Below are 22,276 nucleotides of genomic sequence, written 5' to 3'. Positions count from 1 at the left end.
GATCAAGAAATAACTATAAAAATAGCCAACTAGCAGTGCTTGGGGGTGCTCTGCCTATGGAGTAGCCATTCTTTTGTTTCTTTGCTTCTCTAATAAACTTGCTTTCACTTTGCTCTGTGGACTTACCCCAAATTCTTTCTGGTGCAAGATCCAAGAATTCTCTCTTGGGGTCTGATCAGTACCCCTCTCTGGTAACACTTGCATGATACCTGAGGAGGTCAGCCTGGTCATTCACCCAACAAACATGGGTTAAGCCCTCCCATGTGCCTGGCACAAAGGGGGCTGAGGACTGCAGTTCTGGAACACCTAGGCTCTGAGAGGCGACGCGACTGTGGTAGCAGGGCCAGGATTCTAGCCTGTGCCTGGAGGGCCAACACCTGCACCTTCTCTGCTACCCACCCTGCCTCTGTGACTCAGAGCAGTTAAGCACTTTAGCTCAGGGTGGACTCAGGGCTGCCTCCCCCTTCCTGAGCAACCTAGGGGCTCCTGTGCCCCATGCCTGTGTCCATTTCCCAATCATCAGGGGGCCTCAGACTCCTGCCTGCTCTGACTTTCTAGGCCTTTGAATCAAGCAAGACCCCACTGGATCACCAAAGAGTTAAGCAAAGGAAATCCCTGCCTCCCTTTATCTCCGCAGAACCCAGAGGCTGAAAGGGAGGGAGCAGGGAGGAGGGGAAGTGGGAAGCGGCTCTGCCCTCTCCCTCCGCCCTCCCTCCGCCCTCTCTCCCTCCATCCCCTCCTCTCTCCCTCCTCTGCTGGGCCTGGGGGTCTGGGCCAGCAACAAGTTAGTATTGCAGACATGGGCCAAGGAGCCAGAGGCCATGCAGTGGCTCAGGGTCCGTGAGTCGCCTGGGGAGGCCACAGGACACAGGGTGAGTGACCAGAGGCTCCTCAAGCTTGGGGGCTGGGGTCAGAGCCTGGAATTCCTCTCCTCCCTCCTTGCTTCCTGGAAGCATCTCGGGCCCTGCTCTCTCCCTCTGACTGGGACAGCCTCTCCAGGCTCTCCCCTCCACATTTCCTCCTGCCTCTGGCTGAGGGCTGCGCTCCACTGCTCCCGGTTTGTGCCCGCCCCTACCCGGGCACACACAAACTCAGCTCTGCACGGCCTGCCTGGACCGAGAAAAGTTGCCCTGCCGCTCCCTCCCCAAAGAGGTCCCAGTGGAAGCAGCAAGGACCCCAAAAGTCCTCCCTATGACTTGGTTCCCACACTTGGTCCCTGCCTGGCACCCACCCCCAGAGCTAGTTCGTGATCCTGGCTGTGGTTATGATTCCTCGTTAACGGCTTCCTGATTCCTGCTCCCAGGCCACGGTTCTGTGTCTCACAGCCTTTGACTCCCATCCGCTGGGGCCAATAGGAAACAGAAATGCTCCCAAACCATGCCAGTCCTCTGGGAGAAGTTCTCCTTCCCATCCCATGCAGGCACAGGGAAGAAGTCAAAGCACACTTTTTTTTTTTTTTTTAAGTCTTTTATAAGGCAGGCACTTTTCCTGCATTGAAATCCTTCCAAATTACCTGGGAGGGAAAGGGTGGTGTCATTTCCTTGTAAGTATCAAGGAGCAGGAAGCCCAGAGAGGTTCAGCCACTAGCCCTAGGTCACACAGCTTGCAAACTATTCTGGGTCTCAGATTTGACTCTAAGACCTCAGCTTTTCTCATGAGGTCATATCTGTGGCTGGGAAAAAGAAGGGAATTTTGGGATTTCCAAAACCACTGGGATTTGTCATTTATAAGTAAAAGTTGAGGATGACAGTCTCAGACAGGGAGGATGTTGATCTCTGAGGATTTGACCTCCTTATTGAGCAGAACCAGGAACCCAACCAGGGTGGGCAGAGAGAAGCTTGGGAAGAGTCACCTCCAGGAAGAGGGAGGTGGCTCTGGAGACTTCCTGTCCAGCCCCCTTCTCCTGCTGCTACCATCCAGCTCTGGGGGTGGGGGGCAGGGCTCCTGCCGCTTTATTTATTTTTAGTTTTAATTTTTGAAAAATAGAGACAGGGTCTCACTATGTTGCCCAGACTGGTCTCGAACTCCGGGACTCGAGTGATCCTCTCTCCGTGGCCTCCCAAAGTGCTGGGATTGCAGGAGTAAGTCACTGCACCTGGCCATCCTGCCCCTTTAAAACTCTGCCCTCACCTCAGTGCTCAGCTGAGACAGGGTGGCATTTTAAAAAGTAATAATTGTACCTTGTCTACATGTATTAACCACAAAAAAAATATTTTTGAATTCTACTAAATGTTAAAGGAGAACAAAAAGGAAATAAACAAAGAAACGCCAGAAGTGTAAAAACCAGTCTGGTTTCAAAAGCAGAGTTTCTGATCCTGTGATAACTCGGCACCAGCCCCCAGAAGCTGCACCACCTCAAAGGTCTTTTTGCCCGGCTTCCTGCCCACCCAACCCAGGACTGTCTCTAGCGCCTGGTGTCCAGGCTACTTCCTGCCTCTCTCCTGGAGCCCTAGACCCCTTCTTGGCCAAGGCCAGAGACAGATCCTCACCAACACTTACACTTTTCTGATCCTTTAGAATTTTTTATACCTCCTAGTCCTACCCCTTAATTCCAATTTACCACCTTGGCATCTGATTGGCAGGTCTACGATGATTGACACAACCATCTTCCAATGAACTAACTCTCTCTACAGAACCCTCCCTGCAGGGCTTCTGGATAAGGTTGGGTTGCATAGATAGTTGACTGCACAAAGGTGCTGAGCAGGGAGGTGGACTAGCGCCAGCCCTTGCCAAGCTGCACACCCTCAGCATCACGTCCCTCCAACGGGGACTCTTATCATTTCTAATTTGTCCAGAGGGGCACCTTCTTTGCTTTGCACAAAGGCACTCTAAAGACTAGCAATGGGCTGCAGTCAAGGACCCAGTATTCCTTCTCCTGACTGCTCAGCGATGCAATGACACCATCACCGCGCACCACCCCACATGCTCTCATGGACGTTGCTTTCTGTCTGCTAGGATCAATGAACTCTCTTATCTCTTTTTTTTCAGAACTATGGTGTTCTCACACCAAAGCATGGGCTCGGCCACCCATCCCCTCTCCTGAGAACAAGCCTCCAGAACCCTCCACGTTTGTCCCCAGTGTTCACTAACCTCAGTCCTCCTGCCCGGAGGGCATGTGTTTGCTGGAGATAGTGGAGTCGGTGGCAAGAAAGTGCCAGAGGGAGGTGCGCGGGCGGGAAAGCATCTGACGGTCTCCTGGGTTGCCACCCATGGCCAGCTGGGGCATCTTCTCACCTGCCCCAGCAAAGCTTCCTGGGATCCCTGTCTGCTCTCAGCTGTGGCTGTTTTCAGAGGGGCTTCATCCTTCCAAGGCCTGTGTGGAGCAGAAGCCTCCATGGACTGGGTGCCCGGAGACTCAGCATGCAGGCCCTGCCCTGCCAGTCTCCTCCCGATCTTGGGGAACTTGCTGCTCTGTGGAGGTCTCAGTCTTCTTGTCTGATAGATGGGGACAATAACCTTCCCTCTGGAGTTAGGTCAGGAGTGCTGTGGCTGGAGGACGCAGCACCCGCCCACCCCAGGCATCGGCACATAGTAGATGTTGAGTGAAGTATAGTTCCTGTCCCTCCTTCCTTGTTCCAGGTCACCATGGGGACAGCCGCCCTGGGTCCCGTCTGGGCAGCGCTCCTGCTCTTTCTCCTGATGTGTGAGATCCCTATGGTGGAGCTCACCTTTGACAGAGCTGTGGCCAGCGGCTGCCAACGGTGCTGTGACTCTGAGGACCCCCTGGATCCTGCCCATGTATCCTCAGCCTCTTCCTCCGGCCGCCCCCACGCCCTGCCTGAGATCAGACCCTACATTAATATCACCATCCTGAAGGGTGAGTGCCCTCCTGTGGGGCCTGGTAGTGGGCAGGGAGGGCCAGGGAGCTGAGGTGGAGGGAGTAGAGGGCAGGGCGGAAACCTGTCCAGACTCCTCTTTCATCCTGAGTTATTGAGCCCCAATGTGAGCCTGGTCTGTTCCAAACACTGATGACGGAGCGTGAACAAACCAGACCAAGATGCCTCCTGCCTGAGCACCCGTTCTCGGTGGGGAGATGGGCTGTGAGCAAGGCACACATCACCTAAGTTAGTGGAGTGGAATGTTCGATGGTGATCAGTGCTCTGGGAAATGAAAAGGGGCTTCAGGAGTGCGGGTCTGGGCTGCAGGCTGCATATTGAATGAGGTGGTCAGTGGAGGACCCATGGAGCACAGGCTTCTAAGAGGTGGTGGAGGAGCCTCCTGGCAAAGGGCACAGCTGGTGCAGGGGCCCTGGGGCAGGGCCGGGAGATGCACCAGGCTCAGATCACATGGGGTGCTGTCACCACCCGGCTACTGTAGGGACTTGGGCTCCGCTGAGTGGAGTGGGAACAGGGGCAGGTTTGGGTGGGACAGGGACTTGATCCCACCCAGGTTTCAAATGGATCCCTCTAATGTCATGTGGAGAGCAACCAGCGGGGGCCGAGGGTCGGAGCATGCAGCCCTGTGGGGCCTGTCCAGGTGAGGGCCATCCAGGTGAGGGCTGTCCAGGTGAGGGCTGTCCAGGTGAGGGCCCGTCCAGGTGAAAGGCATCCAGGTGAGGGCCGTCCAGGTGCGGGCTGGCTACCCGCTCTCTCAATAGGACGTGGAAGGACTCGCTTCCCTTCCAGGCTGTGGTGGCTGACGGCTGTGACCAGGCCTTGACATCCTTAGCGTCCGTCTCTGCCCACAACAGCCCGTGAGGTCGATATTTTCTTATTCCTCCCACTTTGCAGATGGGGAAACCCAGTCTCCTGGGGCCACACAGCTGTCAGGGATGGAGCCAGGATTTGTTCCTGAGCTCTCCCCGGGGACACTCACTGCACAGCCAGTGGTCACCTGGCACCTGGCCTGCCCTTGTTCTGATTTCGTGGTGAGGACGTTGCTCTTCCTCACACCCCCCTCCCCACCCAGCTTCCCCAGGGCTGACTTAGCTCTCTGCATGAGGTTGGAGAGGTGCCTGGCTGCTGATGGTCCCTCCTCATTGCCCTCCCCAAACCCAGGGTCACTGCTCCTGGGCCCAGCTCAGCAGCCTGCTGGGAGGTGGGTAGGCTGCCGTGAGGGACCTCGGGCTGGCTTTGGGAGTCCTGGGTCCCAGCCTCACCTCTTCTGCCCCCTTGCCCAGTGAGTCAGGCTGGTCTCTCCCCCGCCCTGAGCTTGCTGCCTTATTTGTAAAAAGAAGATAGTCCCTTCGTCCTGTCCACCCTCCACTCCTTCCTTTCCTTGGGCTGGGGCACAACAAACTTCCTGCACAAGGTCTAGAGCTGTGCAGGTGAGGACGTGGTTCTCCAGCCAGGCGGTGGAGCCAGAACCCTGCAGAGCTGTGGCCTTGCCCTGCCCAGCTCTCTGGGCTTCCACCTCAAGGGCCTGTGCCCTCCTTTCTGTCCCCTTCCCCCCCTGTGGAAAACACAGGGCCTTCTAGCCCATGCAAGGATGTGGTTGCTCGTGTGACTCCAGGCACTGTGACAGGTGGCAGGGAGCTATGTGAGGTCGGGTCCCTCCAGGCGTGGGTGGTCACCTGCTTTTCTTATGTTGAAAGTCAGCCTGGACTAAGGGCCGGGCAGGGCTGTGCCTGCCTGGGGGCCATTGTAGATGCTGCCAGACCTCAGAGCAGGTCGGGATGGGCCAGCCGTGCTGGGTGAACTGTTCTGCCTCTTAGTTGCAGAGTTTGCAAAGTGCTTTCCCACAGGACATTTTGTTGAGGGCTCACAAACACCCCTGAGGTGGACATAATCCTCTTTAAAATATAGACCAGAAAACCGAGACCCCAGCCGTGGAGTGCCCGAGGTCACACAGGGCAGGACTGCCAACCAAGGGCTTCCTGGCTCCTAACCTGGGCTTTTCCTCCAGGTGGGCAAATGTATTTTTCTTGGTTTCTTCCCTGGGTCAGAAACCCAAAGTATGTTCCAGCACACCCCACATCCCTGCCAGCCTGGACTGCGCTGTGGTCCTGGGGTGGGGGCCTGGGCCTGGCCTCCCAGAGACACCAGTCGGACCCTCCCTGCTGGGTGAGGGGAAGTCAAGTCACCCTGGGGACAGACCATATTTTAAGTCCTGCCTCTTCTGCTCCTGCACTGTGTGGCCCGGGGTGAGTCACTCACCCTCTCTGTGAAGTGAAGACGGTCATGATGTTTTCTTTAGGCAGGCATGTGGGGAGGCAATGTCTGGCATACAGTAGGTGCTAAATAAATGCTGGCTTCTTCTCTGGGCCAGGACAGGGGCAGAGCCGTCACAGATGAGTGTGGGCACCTCCTTGGAGCAGGCTCAGATGTCCACCCTGACTTGTCCCCTTTTTATCCCCACAGGTGACAAAGGGGACCCAGGCCCAATGGGCCTGCCAGGGTACATGGGCAGGGAGGGTCCCCAAGGGGAGCCTGGCCCTCAGGGCAGCAAGGGTGACAAGGGGGAGATGGGCAGCCCCGGCGCCCCGTGCCAGAAGCGCTTCTTCGCCTTCTCAGTGGGCCGCAAGACGGCCCTGCACAGCGGCGAGGACTTCCAGACGCTGCTCTTCGAAAGGGTCTTTGTGAACCTTGATGGGTGCTTTGACATGGCGACCGGCCAGTTTGCTGCTCCCCTGCGTGGCATCTACTTCTTCAGCCTCAATGTGCACAGCTGGAATTACAAGGAGACGTACGTGCACATTATGCATAACCAGAAAGAGGCTGTCATCCTGTACGCGCAGCCCAGCGAGCGCAGCATCATGCAGAGCCAGAGTGTGATGCTGGACCTGGCCTACGGGGACCGCGTCTGGGTGCGGCTCTTCAAGCGCCAGCGCGAGAACGCCATCTACAGCAACGACTTCGACACCTACATCACCTTCAGCGGCCACCTCATCAAGGCCGAGGACGACTGAGGGCCTCTGGGCCACCCTCCCGGCTGGAGAGCTCAGGTGCTGGTCCCGTCCCCTGCAGGGCTCAGTTTGCACTGCTGTGAAGCAGGAAGGCCAGGGAGGTCCCCGGGGACCTGGCATTCTGGGGAGACCCTGCTTCTATCTTGGCTGCCATCATCCCTCCCAGCCTATTTCTGCTCCTCTCTTCTCTCTTGGACCTATTTTAAGAAGCTTGCTAACCTAAATATTCTAGAACTTTCCCAGCCTCGTAGCCCAGCACTTCTCAAACTTGGAAATGCATGCGAATCACCCGGGGTTCGTGTTAAATGCAGATTCTGACTCAGCAGGTCTGAGTGGGTCCAGGATTCTGTGTTTCTCATATGTTCCTGGGTGATGCTGATGGGGTCAGTCTATGAACCACACTGGAGCAACCAGGTTCTAGGACTTTCTCAATATTCTAGTACTTTCTGAACATTCTGGAATCCTCCCCACATTCTAGAATTCTCCCAACATTTTTTTTTCTTGAGACAGAGTCTTGCTCTGTTGCCCAGGCTAGAGTGCAGTGGTGCAATCTCAGTTCACTGCAACCTCTGCCTCCCGGGTTCAAGCGATTCTTCTGCCTCAGCCTCCCTAGTGGCTGGGATTACAGGCGCCTGCTACCATGCCTGGCTAATTTTTGTATTTTTAGTAGAGATGGGGTTTCACCATATTGGCCAGGCTGGTCTTGAACTCCTGACTTCAGGTGACCCACCCGCCTCGGCCTCTCAAAATGCTGGGATTACAGGTGTGAGCCACCGTGCCTGGCCAATTCCAACATTCTTAAATTCTCTCATCCCTCCAGGGCTCCCCGTGCTATGTTCTCTTTACCCCTTCCCCCTCTTCTCTTGCTCAGGCCTGCACCACTGCAGCCACCGTTCATTTATTCATTCATTAAACACTGAGCACTCACTCTGTGCTGGGTCCCGGGAAGGGTGAGGGGGTCAGACACAGGCCCTGCCCCTGCCCTCAGTGACTGGCCAGTCCAGCCCAGGCGGGGAGAGATGTGTACATAGGTTTTAAAGCAGACCCAGAGCTCATGGGGGCCTGTGTTCTGGGTGTTCAGGTGCTGCTGGTCCTCCATTACCCACTGCTCCCCAAGGCTGGTGGGACGGGGTCCCGGTGGCAGGGGCAGGTATCTCCTTCCCGTTCCTCATCCACCTGCCCAGTGCTCATCGTTACAGCAAACCCCAGGGGGCCTTGGCCAGGTCAAGGGTTCTGTGAGGAGAGGACCCAGGAGTGTGGGGGCATTTGGGGGGTGAAGTGGCCCCCGAAGAATGGAACCCACACCCATAGCTCTCCCCACAGCTGATACGGCATCCTGCGAGAAGACCTGCCCTCCTCACTGGGATCCCCTTCCTGCCTCCTCCCAGGGCTCTGCCAGGGCCTTGCTCAGTCCCTTCCACCAAAGTCATCTGAACTTCCGTTTCCCCAGGGCCTCCAGCTGCCCTCAGACACTGATGTCTGTCCCCAGGTGCTCTCTGCCCCTCATGCCCCTCTCACCGGCCCAGTGCCCCGACTCTCCAGGCTTTATCAAGGTGCTAAGGCCCGGGTGGGCAGCTCCTCGTCTCAGAGCCCTCCTCCGGCCTGGTGCTGCCTTTACAAACACCTGCAGGAGAAGGGCCACGGAAGCCCCAGGCTTTAGAGCCCTCAGCAGGTCTGGGGAGCTAGAGCAAAGGAGGGACCTCAGGCCTTCCGTTTCTTCTTCCAGGGTGGGGTGGCCTGGTGTTCCCCTAGCCTTCCAAACCCAGGTGGCCTGCCCTTCTCCCCAGAGGGAGGCGGCCTCCGCCCATTGGTGCTCATGCAGACTCTGGGGCTGAGGTGCCCCGGGGGGTGATCTCTGGTGCTCACAGCCGAGGAGCCGTGGCTCCATGGCCAGATGACGGAAACAGGGTCTGACCAAGTGCCAGGAAGACCTGTGCTATAAACCACCCTGCCTGATCCTGCCCCTGCCTGACCCCGCCACGCCCTGCCGTCCAGCATGATTAAAGAATGCTGTCTCCTCTTGGCGATTCAGACTGGTTCTTTCTGCTCGGCTCCCTCTGCCCACTCTGCGTGCTCCCTGCCCACAAAGAAGCGAGCCCCCAGGTCACTCACGCAGCTGGCGCGCCTTGGAGCTAGTGGCACCAGCATAGAGTCAGCCGTGTCACTCTTTGGTTGTGACCTCGGGCAAGTCCCCATATCTCTGCGCCTCGGTTTCCTGTCTGTAAAATGGGGACAATGGTAATCTACCTCATGCGGTGGACATAAGGATCAGATGCCAGGTTGCTTGATGAGTGCCGCGTTCATGCTCAGCATCTGCTGAGCGCCAACTGTGTGGCGCAGAGCTGAGCACCTGTGCCGTTTATGCTCCAGTGAGGCACACGCAAGCCCCCCCACCTCCCGCCCCGGGGACCCTGTCGCATGTTTTGCGTTTAATTATGATGAGAGAACTGTTGGATCTTCTCTGTGGGAAAACACACACTACTACATTGTACAGTGGAGCATCTTGATGGATCTGGCTTTCTTTTTTTTTTGAGATGGAGTCTCTCTGTCACCCAGGTTGGAGTACAGTGGCGCAATCTTGGCTCTCTGCAACCGCTACCTCCCAGGTTCAAGTGATTCTCTTGCCTCAGCCTCCCGAGTAGCTGGGATTACAGGCGCCCACCACCACGCCCAGCTAATTTTTGTATTTTTAGTAGAGATGGGGGTTTCACCATGTTGGCCAGGCTGGTCTTGAACTCCTGACCTTGTGATCTGCCCACCTCGGCCTCACAAAGTGCCGGGATTACAGGCGTGAGCCACCGTGCCCGGCCTGGCTTTCTAATATGTCGTCAAGTTTGGACTCTCTAGGCTAGCCTGGTGGCTACTCACATAAGTATATTTAAAGTGACCGACGCTGATTTCCCAACAGACTTGACCGGGCATCCTGCTCTATCTGTGTTGTCCCTGGTGTGTTGCATGGCTTTTGGGCACCAGGTGGAAGAAGCATGCTATCGAGAACTGACCATACACCTGTGCCAGGATTCAGCCCAGCCCAGCAGCCCACCTTGCAGGGGCAGACAGGTCTCCGTTTCCTCGGAGGTCCCCTGACACTGAAGGGAGGCTTCCCACTGCACCTCAGGGTCATACAGCTCTTGCCAAAGAGGCTCCTCCCATGTCAGAGGCTACCCCGGGGAGCGATCTCCAGCGTGTTTCTGGGCCAGGCTCTATTTGTACACAATCGGCCTCACCAGCCTTGGGACAAAGGCTGTCCTGAGTGCCAGCCAGGAGCCTTTTGTCGTGTACAGCACAAGGATGAGCCATTTGCTGATCGCTGAGGCAGCAAAGCTTTGAAACTTCTTGCCAAGTGCCTGCAGGAGGATTGAAGCTTATCCTTTGTAAACTGAAGCCAAGTCCCCCAGACAGTTCCAGGCCACATTAGTTCAGGGAACAGAGGCCGGCTGTCTTTGTGTCATCCCATCTGACCCACTGCACACATTCCTCCACCCAGGGCTCAGATGTGGCCTCTGGACTGTCTAGGCCAGGTTTTTTTGCGCTAGGTCTGGGTTTCTGACTCAATGGCACCCGGATGGGTGCTAAGAGCCACTAGATCTTTGTGACAAGCTTCTCCCAATGGGCACGTTCTTGGCGGGGGTTGGTCAAAGGTCCTGGGAAACTGGAGGCCCCCAATCCTGCTGCCAGGTCTGTGGGGCACAGCGTCCCCCAGGAGATCTGCCATGCTTAGTACTGATGACCTCAGCAAGCTGGCTGAATGCCCATGTAATCACCTCTGGGGCAATCCCTTTAAGTTACATATTTTGAAAACGTTTTCCGCCTGAAACGTTAGGCAATGAGGAAGGGGAAGGAAAGGGTGGTCAAGAGGGGAAGCAGCCGTGGGAAATGAAAAATACCCCTGACAAGGAGTGTACCCCAGACAGGGCGACCTCACCCCCACCTTGCCATCGTTTTGTTGAGTGGCCCGGGGCAAGTGCAGGGAAGATTAAGGGGGAAAGGGTGATTAGATGGGAGCCTGAGTTAAAATCAGGGGCAGAGCTGGTGCAGGGATTTTAGCTTGATGGTGTCCCTGGTGACCTGCTGTCTGGATAGATGGGCTGGATCCATTTCATGGGCTAGGTTAGGTTGTGTCTGGAAGTGTTCAGCCTTCCTGGGGAGATGAGCGCAGGAGCTCCTCTGCCACATGGGAGTGTGGGGAAGGGAGTAGATAATTCTTATGTGGCGATCTGGGAAGGCTTCTTAGTGGAGGGGACATGTGGGAAGGGCCTTGGAGGGTGAATAGGAGTCTCAAAGGCACTTGACATGGGGCAAGGAGCTGATGAGAGGAAAGGGTTGCAGGCGGACCAATGTAGTCTATGCTCTGGGCAGTGGGAGAGACCAGTAGGTTGGATAGATGTCTGGAAAGGAGGCAAGGAGAGCAGAATGGGGTTTGAGACAGGAAAGGCCTGGAATGTCAGGCTAAGTCTAGGATTGACCTCTTTCTTAGGTGCTGGGGTGCCTTTAAGAGGCAGATCACTCTGCAGCCAGGTGGAGCACAGGCTGCAGAGGGTGAAGCTGGAGGCAGTGAGGGGGCCTGTGCCATGGTCCAGGGGAGGACATAGAACGCCTAGAAACTGGGTGAATCATGATGTCATCCTGGAGGGGGAGGCATGTCCCCAATTGACTTTGAAGTTGGTGAGAGATTCAACAGCAGAGAGGAGGCAGGAGGGCAGCTGGGGGTTGTTGGGGGGACGGGGTCCAGCTTGGATTAAGGGTCTACCAGGGTGTTTCTCCCACAAGGCTTTCGTTAGCCAGTGGGAAGCCAGCAGGCCGGGGTGCCAGGAGGTGGGCTCCTGTGGCAGCTCTGCCCAGGAGAGTCCCTTGTTTGGCTGGAGGACTGGAGGGTGCTGGGTAAATCGTTTAGCCTTTTTGGGCCCCATATTGTCCTTATCTGTAATATCAGATGCAAAAGCCCTTCTCTCTTACCCCACTGAGGACTTCAGGGTATCCAAGGCTGCAGGGGCATGGCTATTTTCAGAACCCCAAACCAGGACCCATGGAGAAGTGGCAGTGGGACAGAAAACGTGAAATTAGCAGCAGTTGTCCCAGAGAATACTAAGTGTACGGGACAGGGCTGGGGAAGCCTGAGAGAGGTGGTGAGTGCTCAGACGCCGGCATGTATGGAATCTGGAGCCAGGCTGCGGGTTCTGACCCCAGCACACCCTTTCCTTAGACCAGCTCCTGGTTCAGGGCGCACAACATTATTTTTCCTATAGTATGACCGGGGCTTGTCACTTCCTCTCTGTGAGTCTTGGCTTTGTTCCGATAGAGGACTCCACGTGACGATGTATCTCGGTATTAGCAGTGTCTGGCACACAGCCGTGCTCAAATGGCATGGGTTCGATGAGTGACCTCTCTGAGCATCGTGGGAAAGGTGCGGGGCGAAGTGAGAAGCAACAGTCTCTGGCCAGGGAGGAGGCCCTGCAGCCCCCCTCTCCTCTCCCCGCCTCCTCCTCCACTTGGCAGGCCCGTCACAGTAGCCACATACTGCCACGTGTGCGTCTGGAGGAAAGGAGAAACACAGGCAGAAACTTAACATGACCAGAAACAGATGTCAAGAACATTATGGGTGAGGCCAGCGGGTGGCCGCAGGAGCCAGAGAGGAAGGAGGGATTTCCAGGACACGAGTCAAGGGTGCGTGGGGCTAAGCTGGCGTGGCTTTGGAGCAGCTGGCCTTCAGACCCAGGAGGACAGGAGGCGGTGGTGACCAGCACCTGGGGGCTGGGGTCGTAGCATACAGTCAGGTGGGCTGTGGAGTTGCAGCCTGGAGGTGGTGGCATTGGCGGCAGAAGTAGGGTTGCTTCACGGGAGGAAGGAGTCATTGGAGAGGGCTGGCTGTAGGCGCGTGGAGGAAAGAGGTGACCCTCTGCAGGTCAGCAGTAGAGTGGGAGGGTGGGGCGGTTCCTGCAGGTGGCTGGCTGCTCTTCGCTTCTGGTGGGAAGGAATGGATGCCACAAATGCAGATGTATACAAAACAGGCCGTGCTTTAGTTCTCTGAGTAAATTTCACTCCCATTAGGCATTTCCATGGGCTGAAGTCAAAGAAATGTGATTTTGGCAGCTGGGATTCCTCCCCGCCCCCCGATATTTCCCTGCGGCTGCATCTAAGTGCCCCTCCCTGCCAGCAGGGAGGAGCTGGGGCACTCCATGTCCACGTTTCCTCTGCGAGTTTGGCAATGTCCCATCTGCTCTGGGCTCCGGGTCCCACTCCCATACCTCCTGATTCATGCTCACTCCCACAGCGCCTCCCGGGTCCTCATCCCTCTTGGGACACCTGGGTGCTTCCTGTACACAAGTTCCTTGCCTCTCTGAGGGCTGTCTCACCCAGCCCTATCTGCCCGGATACACCCTGGGGCCATTTCTTCCCTGGGGTCTCAGCTGCCTTTCTAGGGTTTTGCCCAGGAAGAGAAGAATGGCTCCTCTGAAGCTCGGATGTCCCAAACCTGTTGGGGGTCTGCCTGGGAAGGAGGAGACAGGATCACTTTGGCCAGGAATCCCAATCCTAACTCATCTCTTGTTTCCCCTCTGCACCTCCCCACCCCGTCACCCAGGGATGACGCTCCTTGAGCTCATCTGAGCTCCTCTGAGTGTCGGGAGAGGGCTCAAGGCAACCTCTCCCAAAGCTTCTGGTGGGGCTCTCCTTGTTCTGAAACCTAAGAACGTGCAGAAGTCTCCCTTTCCCCCTCTGCTTTTTGCCTCGTAGTTTCTGTATTTGTTAAGATGCTTTTGGGTGCAAGGTACACATATTCAACCCAAAGCAGCAAGAGAGAAAAGTAACCCTAAGTCCCAGGCAGGGCGGCTCAGGGTCCGTCAATTCAGCAGCTGAGCAGCTCAGCAGCTCGCTAAGGACCTGGGTCTGCCCCATATCTCCATTCTCAGCACAACAGATTTGCCCTTAGGCCAATGATGTATGATCTGGCTCTGTGTCCCCACCCAAATCTCATCTTGAATTGTAATCCAAATTGCAATCCCCACATGTTGGGGAAGGCACCTGGTGAGAGGCGATTAGATCATGAAGGCGGTTACCCTCATGCTTTTCTCGTGATAGTGAGTGAGTTCTCACGAGTTTTGATGGTTGTATAAGGGACCCTTCCCCCTTCACTCTGCACTTCGCTCTCCTGCCAGCATGTGAAGGTGCCTTGCTTCCCCTTCGCCTTCCACCACGATTGTAAGTTTCCTGAGGCCTCCCCAGCCATGTGGAACCGTGAGTCAATTAAACCTCTTTCCTTTCTAAATTATCCAGCCTCAGGCAGTTCTTCATAGCAGTGTGAGAACGAACTAATACAGCCAGCTTCCCTCAGGGCCACAGGATGGCAGTCTCAAGATGGTGGCCATGAGATTTCTGTTCTGGGTCCAGGTGTCATATCTGGGTATCACCCGCCAGGTCCCAATCTGTTCTGCCAGTGTGCAGCCAATCGCTGTGACTTGGGATTTGCAAAAGAGAAAAGATTGATTCACAAGCCTGCCAAGCAAGGAGGTGGGAGAACAGCGTTCAAATCTGCCTCCCCAAAGACAAGGTTTAGGGATATGAATGGGTTAGAGAAGTGGGGTGATCTAAGGTGTGGGGACAGGTGATTGGCAGTGGGGAAGAATGACGTAACCGGTTTGTTCTGTACAAGCATAGTTGGGGTTCATGGCATTTCATAGGACACATACAGAAAACAGATGCATTGGCCTGATCTGAGCGTGGTGCTTTTGGTCCTCCAATATCAAATGGCCATCTCTTGGGCACATATACGGTTCCCCAGCTGAAGGGTCTCAACTGGTTTCAGCTGGCCCAATTCCTGAAAAACAACCGAAGCCACCATTACCATGGTGACCTATGAATGTTATCTCTAAAGTAGCCAGTGAAGGTTGTTTCAGCATTCAGTGGCAAGGCTTTCAGCTCCCTTGGCCTTCAGCTTCATGGAAAAAAGTCTCAAAACCCAGCGACGAACCCTTCCGTTTCATGGATGTGGCAAGGGTGGGTGAAAGAGAATCAGAGATTCTTCTGTCCAAAAGCCTCTTCTCGCTTCTCATTGGCCACAGCTGGTCACATAACCATACCTAACCCAACCTCGGGGAAGTGAGATTTACCCCTGAACCCTGAGGGGCTGGGCTGGAGCCCCAGGCAAGATCAGAGTCCCACTCACAGGTTGGGGTGGGGTGGGGAGAAGCTGTTGAGAGTCCAGTTGGTTCACATTTCGTAAAAACTCTCTGGCCATATTGTCAGATGCGGGTGCCTGACTCAGCCAGGGTGTCTTGGTTCCAGGAAATCTTCCCAGATGTGAGAGGCAGCTGGATCCCTGAGCGTCCCCTGGTTATAGTGTTTAGCAATAGTTGGCTCTGCTCACGAGGCTTCAAGCTCTTGGGGCAGCAGGGCTACAGCAGCGCCAAAGCTACCACCTCCAGGACCCCTCCCCAACCCCCCCTGGCAGTTTAGTGTGTGGTTAATGCTGAGGCTGCTGGAGGCACTGCCTGGGTTCAAATCTGAGTAAATGAGGGGAGGTCACTGAAACTCTCTGTGCCTCAGTTTTGTCACCTGTAAAATGGGGATGATATTAACACTATCTGGGCTGTTGTGAGGATTAAAGGAGTAAGTATATGTAAAATACTGGTACGTAGGAGGTGCTCTATAAATGTTAAAAATTATTTTAAGGTAGACACTTTCTTATATTTATTTTACAGAAGAAGAAACTGTGAAGTACAGAAAAACTGATTAATTTCCTTCCTTCATGTGTCATTTGTTTACCCAATCAATAATTATGGATTGATTCCTATTCTATAGGCTTGGCCCTGTGCTAAGCACAGGGGACAGTGTGGTGAGCCAAAACCCCACATGGTCCCTGCCCTCATGCGGCTTCCAGTCTAATAGGGGAGAGAGACATTACACAGTCACAGCAGGGCTTCAGCGTGGGGTAAGTGCTGGCAAGGGAGAAGCAAATTTGGGAGGGAGAAGTGGTCAGGGAAGGCCTCTCTGAGGAAGAGGTGGTTCAGCTGAGACCCAAAGATGAGAGACATAGCACAGCTGGTGGAGGGGCCAATATGGGTCAAGGCCAGGAGGTAGGAGGCTGCTCAGCCCCTCCCAGGAACTGAAAGAAAGACCCAGAGGCCGGAAGGAGCCAGGTTTTGCAGGACCTGGGATATTCGATCTTGTCCAGTGGGCCACACCAGAAGGAAGGGATGGTTCCTGGGAAAGAGGGGAGGCTCATCCAGGACCTGAGCTATGACTTCTCAGAGGATGGCTGGAGGATGGGAAACACTCTCTAGCTCTTTCGGTGGTTCTCAAGACAGGGCAGGGCTCCTTACAGGAGTCTATGAGGAGGCTTGTGCCCTCAGCCCCACAGCCAATGGTGGCTGGAGCCAGCTTGCACCAGAGCCGACTGCATGCATGTCTTCCCGATCGCAGGTTCAGAGACATCACGATGCTAGCTTGAAATGGGTCATGGTGGCAGGATATATACTGCTAGAAATTGGCAGATGTTGCAGTTTGCCAATTTCTAGTTAAAGCATTTAAAAATTCTTACAAAACAAAGCCTTCATTAGAAATGCGGCTTGGGTGGGGGCTGGGCCCAGTGAAGGAGGCACTTTGGGTGTGGCCCCAGGCTCACAAGTTCCCCTCTTCTCCAGGGACCCCTCGCCACTGCCCACCCCCAAAACCTCAGCCCCTTACCCCACCCTTGGGCTCATCTCTCTACCTCATTCTGGGCCCTATTGGATGGTTGACGGCTCCAAGGGAGGCCCCAACCCTAGCAGGGCCAGCTTGAGTCCTGCTCTGCAGATTTGGGAAGCAGGACCGCAGCCAGGAGCTGATGGAGCCGAGTGCATTAGGAGGTGCAGCCAGGGATCCCAAGCACAGCGGGCGCCAAGGAGCTGGGGCTACCCTGGCTTTTCCTTCCTGCAGGTTTGGTTGGGGCTCTAGCCCCTTGCCTCCATCCCCAACATCACTTTTTTTTTTTTTTTTTTTACTTTACCTTTAGTTAATAGTTGAGTTTTCTTGCTCACAACCAGAGAGCCTCAACTGAGGTGCCAAAGGTCCCAGAAATGCAAACCACCTACTTGAGAGGGAGCATTAAAGCAGTAACAGGTCATTTCAATCCTGACAACGTCAGCCGAGCATCTGTCCCAGGAGCTCTGGGGATCCATAAATAGCTCAGACAGGTCAGATCCCCTTGCGGGTTCTCAACCCAGGGGAAAGCTCTGACCCGCAGTAAAATGAGGGAAACACAGTGTATTGGGGCTATAAAAGAGGTTTATATAAGGTGCAAGAGTAGCGAGCTCAAAGGAGGAGCAACCAACTCTGCCCATATGTGTTTGGGTCTTGAAGGCTGTGTAGGAGTTTTCTAGGAGGAAAGGTGAAGAAGAGGATTGTGAGCAGCTTTCTATTCTGTACAACTGCATCTATAAATCCCATAAATACTTTCTGAGAACAAGTCAAGCAGTCTCTTCTCACGTGGAGCTTGCAGTCTAGCGTAGGCAAAGGCATGCATTGGGAATCATGTGGCACATTTCAGGGAGTTATAAATTGCCTCGCATATTCAGGAAGCATTCCATAGTTTTCATCCTTCCTCCAGTTCTGCCTGGCTCCCTCCTTCCTTCAGATTTTCCCATCGCCTTCTGGTGAGGTCCATCTACCCTGACTGCCTTGTTTAAAATTGTGCTCCTGATTCTCTGTCTCCCATTTTTTCTTTTCTGATAGCGTTTTTCATCTTTTAACCTCCTATGAAACTTACTTAGTCCTTATGTTTATTGTCTGTTTCTCACCCCACTCCCCACTAGACTGTAAGCGTCACAAGGGCAGGCGTCTTTGTTTTGTTCACTGTTGTGTCCTAAGCCTCTAGAAAAAGGGTTTGGCACATAGGGGCTCCTCAATAAATATTATTTGAATGAAAGAGCGTGAGGCCAAGCATGACGACTCACAACTGTAATCCCAGCACTTTGAGAGGCCGAGGTGGGTGGATCACCTGCGGTCAGGAGTTTGAGACCAGCCTGGCCAGCATGGTGAAACCCTGTCTTTACTAAAAACACAAAAATTAGCCAGGCATGGTGGCCGCGCCTGTAGTCCCAGCTACTTGGGAGGCTGAGACAGGAGAATTGCTTGAACCCGGGAGGCAGAGGTTGCAGGGAGCTGAGATTGTGCCACTGCACTCCAGCCTGGGCAACAGAGCGAGCCTCTGTCCCCCTCCCCACCCAAAAAAAAGAGCGTGAGTCCTAGAATTTGGGAGGTAGTAAAATCCACCCTCATCCATAATATCGGAAGTTCCACAGGCTGGCAGGATCATCCCACCACGTGCCCAGCTTCCAACCACAGAAAGGCGCTCCCAGAATTTTGCAGGATTTCTTTGGATTTGCTTCATGTTTATCTTTGAGATTGCTTCATCTCTTTGGAGATCAGCAGTAAAGTCTTAAAGGCAGCAGGAATCTGTGTGTTTGCGGAGACAATGAGGAAAGGAACTGAGGGAAGTGTGTGTGGCCCGTGCAGTGAGGCTGGGAGGCCATGAGCCACGTCAAGCAGTGACTGCGTGGTGGAGAACCCCAAATGTGGCACCCTTGGGACTGAGAGGTGGCCAGAAGGGGCAAGTCGACTCCCATGATGCCTCCACAGAGAGGGATGGAGGCTTGGGTTCTAGACTGTCCACCCCCAAGAGGCCACGCCTGTCATTACCCCAGCCCCTGGGTGGCGCTGCTTCCCCTGTGGCAGACACGCATCTCTCCACGGCTGGGGGCAGCGGGGACAGTGCAGAGTCTGCCCCCGCTGCTGGCCTAGCTTGTCCATCCCTGTCTATGAGGAGCTGTTGCTCTTCTCAGCTGCTCTCCTGTTAGGTCTTGGGACCTGCACCTTCTGTGATGTCAGCTGCTAAAACACACCCCATCTCTTCTGCAAAACAGGTAGCTCATTTCACCCCCAACCTTGGCAAACACCAAACTTCCTGCAGCTGCTTTGGTTTTCTTCAGGGCCTTTCTGCTGTGTTCTGGCCTTCCTGAAAGAGTCTTATTATTCTGTCCATCCACATCCACTGTCTGTCCATCCGTCTGTCTGTTCATCCCTTCATCCATCCATCCATCCATCCATCCATCCATCCATCCATCCATTCTTCCTTCCTTCTCCCCCATCCTTCCTTCCTTCTCCCCCATCATTCCTTCTCTCCCTCCATCATTCCCTCCATGATCCCCCCATTCATCCTTCTTCTGTTCATCCATCAGTCCATTTTCCATTCACCCATTAACCACCCTTCTATCCACATCACAATGACTAAGCACCTCCTATGCTCCAGGCACATACCAGGCAGCATAAAGAAATGCAGAATGAATGGGATTCAGTTCCTGCCCTTGGGGAGCACCCACTTTAGTTGGGGAGAGAAGGAAGGCCTCTGGCAGGTACCTAACCCCATCAGAAAGCAAGGGTAAAGGCCTGGGAGGCTTCACGGAGGATGTGAACCCGGGGCCTGAAGGATGATGAGTCCGCGGGATAAGAAGGCAAAGGAAGGATGCCACATGCAGGGCAGGGAGGGGGCAAACCCTGGGAGGAGGGGGAGGCATGCAAGCGATTCTGCGTTCTGTGTGGCCAGAGGATTGGATGCAAAGGGGGATCTTCAAGAGGGGGCCCAGTTAGGGACAGCCTTGAAGCCAGACTCAGGATGCTTGGATAGGGTCTTGAGGGCAGTGGGGAGCCCCTGAAGAGTTGTGTGCAAGGATGCTCTGGATGCAGAGTGAAGGATGACATGGCAGCGTCCCGCTAACAAATATGAACCCCTCTGTAAACAGAACCCCTGTGTAAGCAAGAACCCTCTGTAAACAGAATCCCTCTGTAAACAGAACCCCTGTGTAAGCAAGAACCCCTCTGTAAACAAGAACCCCTCTGTAAACGTGTAAACAAGAACCCCTCTGTAAACAGAATCCATCTGTAAGCAAGAACCCCTCTGTAAACAGAACCCCTCTGTAAGCAAGAACCCCTCTGAAAACAGGAACCCCTCTGTAAACAGAACCCCTCTGTAAGTAAGAACCCCTCTCTGTAAGCAAGAACCCCTCTGTAAACAGAATCCATCTGTAAGCAAGAACCCCTCTGAAAACAAGAATCCTTCTGTAAACAGAACCCCTCTGTAAGCAAGAACCCCTCTGAAAACAAGAACCCTTCTGTAAACAGAACTCCTCTGTAAACAAGAACCCCTCTGTAAACAGCATCCCTCTGTAAACAAGGACCCCTCTGTAAGCGAGAACCCCTCTGTAAGCAATAACCCCTCTGTAAACAGCATCCCTCTGTAAACAGAACCCCTCTGTAAGCAAGAACCCCTCTGTAAGCAGAACCCCTATATAAGCAGTGCCCCTCTGGCACTGGGCGTGGAGGGAAGGAGATGGAGCTGGGGAAATATTAGGCTCTGGTGATAATTGTTGTTCCCCAACTGCCTTCAGCCACCTAGTCTGTGCCTTGGCTCTTGCAGCTCCCTCTGTCTTGGGCCCTTTCTCTCGACCCATTCCGGCCTATGGAACACTCATCCCCATCCTCCCAGAGAAGAGGAAGAACCCAGCCTTCCTCAGGTGCCTCCTGCATGCCAGGAACTGTGGGTGATGGCTTCTCTGTGTGCACAATCTCATGCCATCCCCATGAACCTAAGAGGTGGGGAGTAGTCGCATGTTTCAGATGCAGAAACAGGCTCAGAGAGGTAAAGGAACTTATCCAAGATCACACAGCTAGGAAGTGGCCAAGGTGGGATGGGGACCCAGCCCTCACTGCCTTTGCACAATGACCCACTGCCCACAGCACCGATGCCACATCCTCTGGAGCCTCCCCTATGGCTCCAGCCAAGCCACGTTCTATTTTTGGGTTTGTGTTTTTGTGTTTTGTCATTTGCAGGCGTTTCAAACTGGGCACGCTCTATGCCTCTCATACTCATTATGACCACATTTTCTAAAGACAAAACTGCACAGACAGCCTGAAAAAGTATTTTTTCTGTCTTGTTACTTTCTTTAATAACGTCTTAGCCAGTTTAGAATCAAATCACATGTATTTACTCTTCTCACGTGATACCAGGACTGTTCTGAAAGTTCAGGCCAAGGGTCACCACATTGACACGATTTCCTTAGTTATAATCATTTGCATACTTGTCCTACCTCCATACCAAGAGAAGGTACTCTGAGTTAGAGTTCAAATCCCACACATCCTTGTCATTCCCACAGTGCCCAGCATGCTGCTGCCAGCAGGTGCTCAGTAAATCCTTACTGAACTCATGCAAAGGGGACAGACGCCACCTCAGCCCAACACCAAGATTGTCCTCCCTCCCTCCCGCACCCCTTCCCTTCCTCCCTTGCTTCCCATCTTTCAATAAATGCAGTTTGAATGCATTTGTCACACAAAGCTTTAGGCTCAGAGAAGCTGTGGGACTCCATGCACTTCACCTGTGGCCTTGAGGCACCGCAGTCCAGCCAGGAAGACAGACACCAGGCAAATCCTCCCACCTATGCCCAGTCAATTAGGAATATGAGCACCTGATCCAGTGATGGGCAGGGCAGCATCCACTTTAGATGCACGGGGTGCTGGGAAAGCTGCCCTGAGAAAGTGACCGCAGGCTGAGGCCTGGGGCAGAGAGAACGTGGGCAGGGGCTCGAGGCAGGGAAGAGCTTGGAGACTTCCAGGAACTGCCAGACAGCCAGGGGCAGTGGGGCAAGGGAGAGAAGAAGCCAGAGAGGCCGCAGGCCTGGGCTTTCCATGGCGAGGAGGCCTGGATACTGCATAAGTGCAGCAGGAAATGTTGGGTGGGGTCGGATTTTCACTTTACAAGGGCAGTCGCTGGGGCAGAGGGCATGGGACTCAGGGAGGGACTCAGGAGGCAGAGAGATGGTGGGACGAGACTGAGGGTGCCGGCTGGGGCTGGGGGTAGAGGACTGTGAGCGCTTGGCACTTGGAGGCAGTCAGAGCTGGTCTGGGCAGGGGTGCTGTCACCCAGGGCCGAGGAAAGGGATACAGGAGGGGCAGAGGGTGGGTCGGAGGCTGTCCTGGGAACCCTAAACGTGGGGGCCAGGAGAAGGAGGTGCTCCCGTTTCTGATCTGTACCAATTAAGGGGAAGGTGAGAAATTGCTTGGGTGGAGTGTCCTTCTCTGAGTCTGGGGGTTAGGTGGGATGAGGGGACCTCGGAGGCTGGAGGCCAGAGTTCACACTCCTGCCCTGCTGTGTGACCTAAGGCTGAGAGCTGCCTCTCTCTGGGCCCAGATGCATCATTACCTATTCAGCAAGCAGCTGGGCCTGAGAGCCTCCGAGATCCCTTGCAGGTCTGCTGGTCTCGGCTGCCTTTCCTTGGTCTGCCCTCATGCTGTCTTCCCAGAAGCCAGGGGCCCAGTTTGCTTCCCCTGCTTGTCCTGTGGGCACTTGCGACTCCCGGGGAGGCAGCAGACACGGTCCAGCGTGGTCACGCTCCTGGCCGCGACTTC

General features: G+C 54.7%; 2 protein-coding genes and 1 long non-coding RNA gene across 14 annotated transcripts in view, besides 9 other annotated features; 2 read left to right on the top strand and 1 right to left on the bottom strand.

The window, feature by feature from the left end:
* Window positions 1-414: part of an enhancer, noted in NCBI's record as "OCT4-NANOG-H3K27ac-H3K4me1 hESC enhancer chr22:37584661-37585296 (GRCh37/hg19 assembly coordinates)", that runs on past the window's edge. NCBI's record gives its function as "activates a minimal SCP1, AML or CMV promoter by ChIP-STARR-seq in naive and primed H9 embryonic stem cells {active_cell/tissue: H9 hESC(naive and primed)}" and the evidence as "EXISTENCE:reporter gene assay evidence [ECO:0000049][PMID:30033119]".
* Window positions 1-8,869, top strand: part of C1QTNF6 (C1q and TNF related 6) — a 19,258-nt gene extending 10,389 nt beyond the window's left edge. For 5 of the 11 annotated variants that reach the window (XM_047441114.1, XM_024452153.2, XM_047441113.1 and 2 more), the window contains 3 exons: window positions 2,989-3,164; window positions 3,580-3,817; window positions 6,300-8,869. In XM_047441114.1, the coding sequence (XP_047297070.1) occupies window positions 3,114-3,164; window positions 3,580-3,817; window positions 6,300-6,847 (837 nt within the window). In that variant the 5' untranslated portion in view covers window positions 2,989-3,113 and the 3' untranslated portion in view covers window positions 6,848-8,869. Of the gene's footprint in view, window positions 1-558; window positions 3,165-3,579; window positions 3,818-6,299 lie in introns of those variants that run through there. The other 6 variants (NM_001365878.1, XM_011529857.3, NM_182486.2 and 3 more) reach the window with 5 other exon arrangements.
* Window positions 415-1,048: an enhancer, noted in NCBI's record as "H3K27ac-H3K4me1 hESC enhancer chr22:37584027-37584660 (GRCh37/hg19 assembly coordinates)". NCBI's record gives its function as "activates a minimal SCP1, AML or CMV promoter by ChIP-STARR-seq in primed H9 embryonic stem cells {active_cell/tissue: H9 hESC(primed)}" and the evidence as "EXISTENCE:reporter gene assay evidence [ECO:0000049][PMID:30033119]".
* Window positions 1,049-1,684: an enhancer, noted in NCBI's record as "H3K27ac-H3K4me1 hESC enhancer chr22:37583391-37584026 (GRCh37/hg19 assembly coordinates)". NCBI's record gives its function as "activates a minimal SCP1, AML or CMV promoter by ChIP-STARR-seq in primed H9 embryonic stem cells {active_cell/tissue: H9 hESC(primed)}" and the evidence as "EXISTENCE:reporter gene assay evidence [ECO:0000049][PMID:30033119]".
* Window positions 2,213-22,276, bottom strand: IL2RB-AS1 (IL2RB and C1QTNF6 antisense RNA 1). Its single transcript, NR_199008.1, has 2 exons — window positions 22,071-22,276; window positions 2,213-6,606 (listed from the first exon to the last, which is right to left on the bottom strand). It is a non-coding gene; the product is annotated as an IL2RB and C1QTNF6 antisense RNA 1 (long non-coding RNA).
* Window positions 7,689-8,548: an enhancer, noted in NCBI's record as "H3K4me1 hESC enhancer chr22:37576527-37577386 (GRCh37/hg19 assembly coordinates)". NCBI's record gives its function as "activates a minimal SCP1, AML or CMV promoter by ChIP-STARR-seq in naive H9 embryonic stem cells {active_cell/tissue: H9 hESC(naive)}" and the evidence as "EXISTENCE:reporter gene assay evidence [ECO:0000049][PMID:30033119]".
* Window positions 8,549-9,409: an enhancer, noted in NCBI's record as "H3K4me1 hESC enhancer chr22:37575666-37576526 (GRCh37/hg19 assembly coordinates)". NCBI's record gives its function as "activates a minimal SCP1, AML or CMV promoter by ChIP-STARR-seq in primed H9 embryonic stem cells {active_cell/tissue: H9 hESC(primed)}" and the evidence as "EXISTENCE:reporter gene assay evidence [ECO:0000049][PMID:30033119]".
* Window positions 13,783-14,041: a promoter, noted in NCBI's record as "1/260 LTR promoter fragment". NCBI's record gives the evidence for it as "EXISTENCE:reporter gene assay evidence [ECO:0000049][PMID:21865161]".
* Window positions 13,783-14,159: a mobile genetic element, named in NCBI's record as "IL2RB LTR promoter".
* Window positions 13,917-22,276, top strand: part of IL2RB (interleukin 2 receptor subunit beta) — a 49,281-nt gene continuing 40,921 nt past the window's right edge. The window contains exon 1 of one of the 2 annotated variants that reach the window (NM_001346222.1): window positions 13,917-14,041. The gene's annotated coding sequence lies outside the window, so the exon portion shown is untranslated. Of the gene's footprint in view, window positions 14,078-22,276 lie in introns of both variants that reach the window. The other variant, NM_001346223.2, reaches the window with a different exon arrangement.
* Window positions 20,682-20,741: an enhancer, noted in NCBI's record as "active region_18946". NCBI's record gives its function as "activates an Ori minimal core promoter by ATAC-STARR-seq in GM12878 lymphoblastoid cells {active_cell/tissue: GM12878}" and the evidence as "EXISTENCE:reporter gene assay evidence [ECO:0000049][PMID:35858748]".
* Window positions 22,056-22,105: an enhancer, noted in NCBI's record as "active region_18945". NCBI's record gives its function as "activates an Ori minimal core promoter by ATAC-STARR-seq in GM12878 lymphoblastoid cells {active_cell/tissue: GM12878}" and the evidence as "EXISTENCE:reporter gene assay evidence [ECO:0000049][PMID:35858748]".

The sequence above is a fragment of the Homo sapiens genome, chromosome 22 (assembly GCF_000001405.40).
Source record: "Homo sapiens chromosome 22, GRCh38.p14 Primary Assembly".
Lineage (NCBI taxonomy): Eukaryota > Metazoa > Chordata > Mammalia > Primates > Hominidae > Homo > Homo sapiens.
This window is presented reverse-complemented; position numbering and strand designations above follow the sequence as displayed.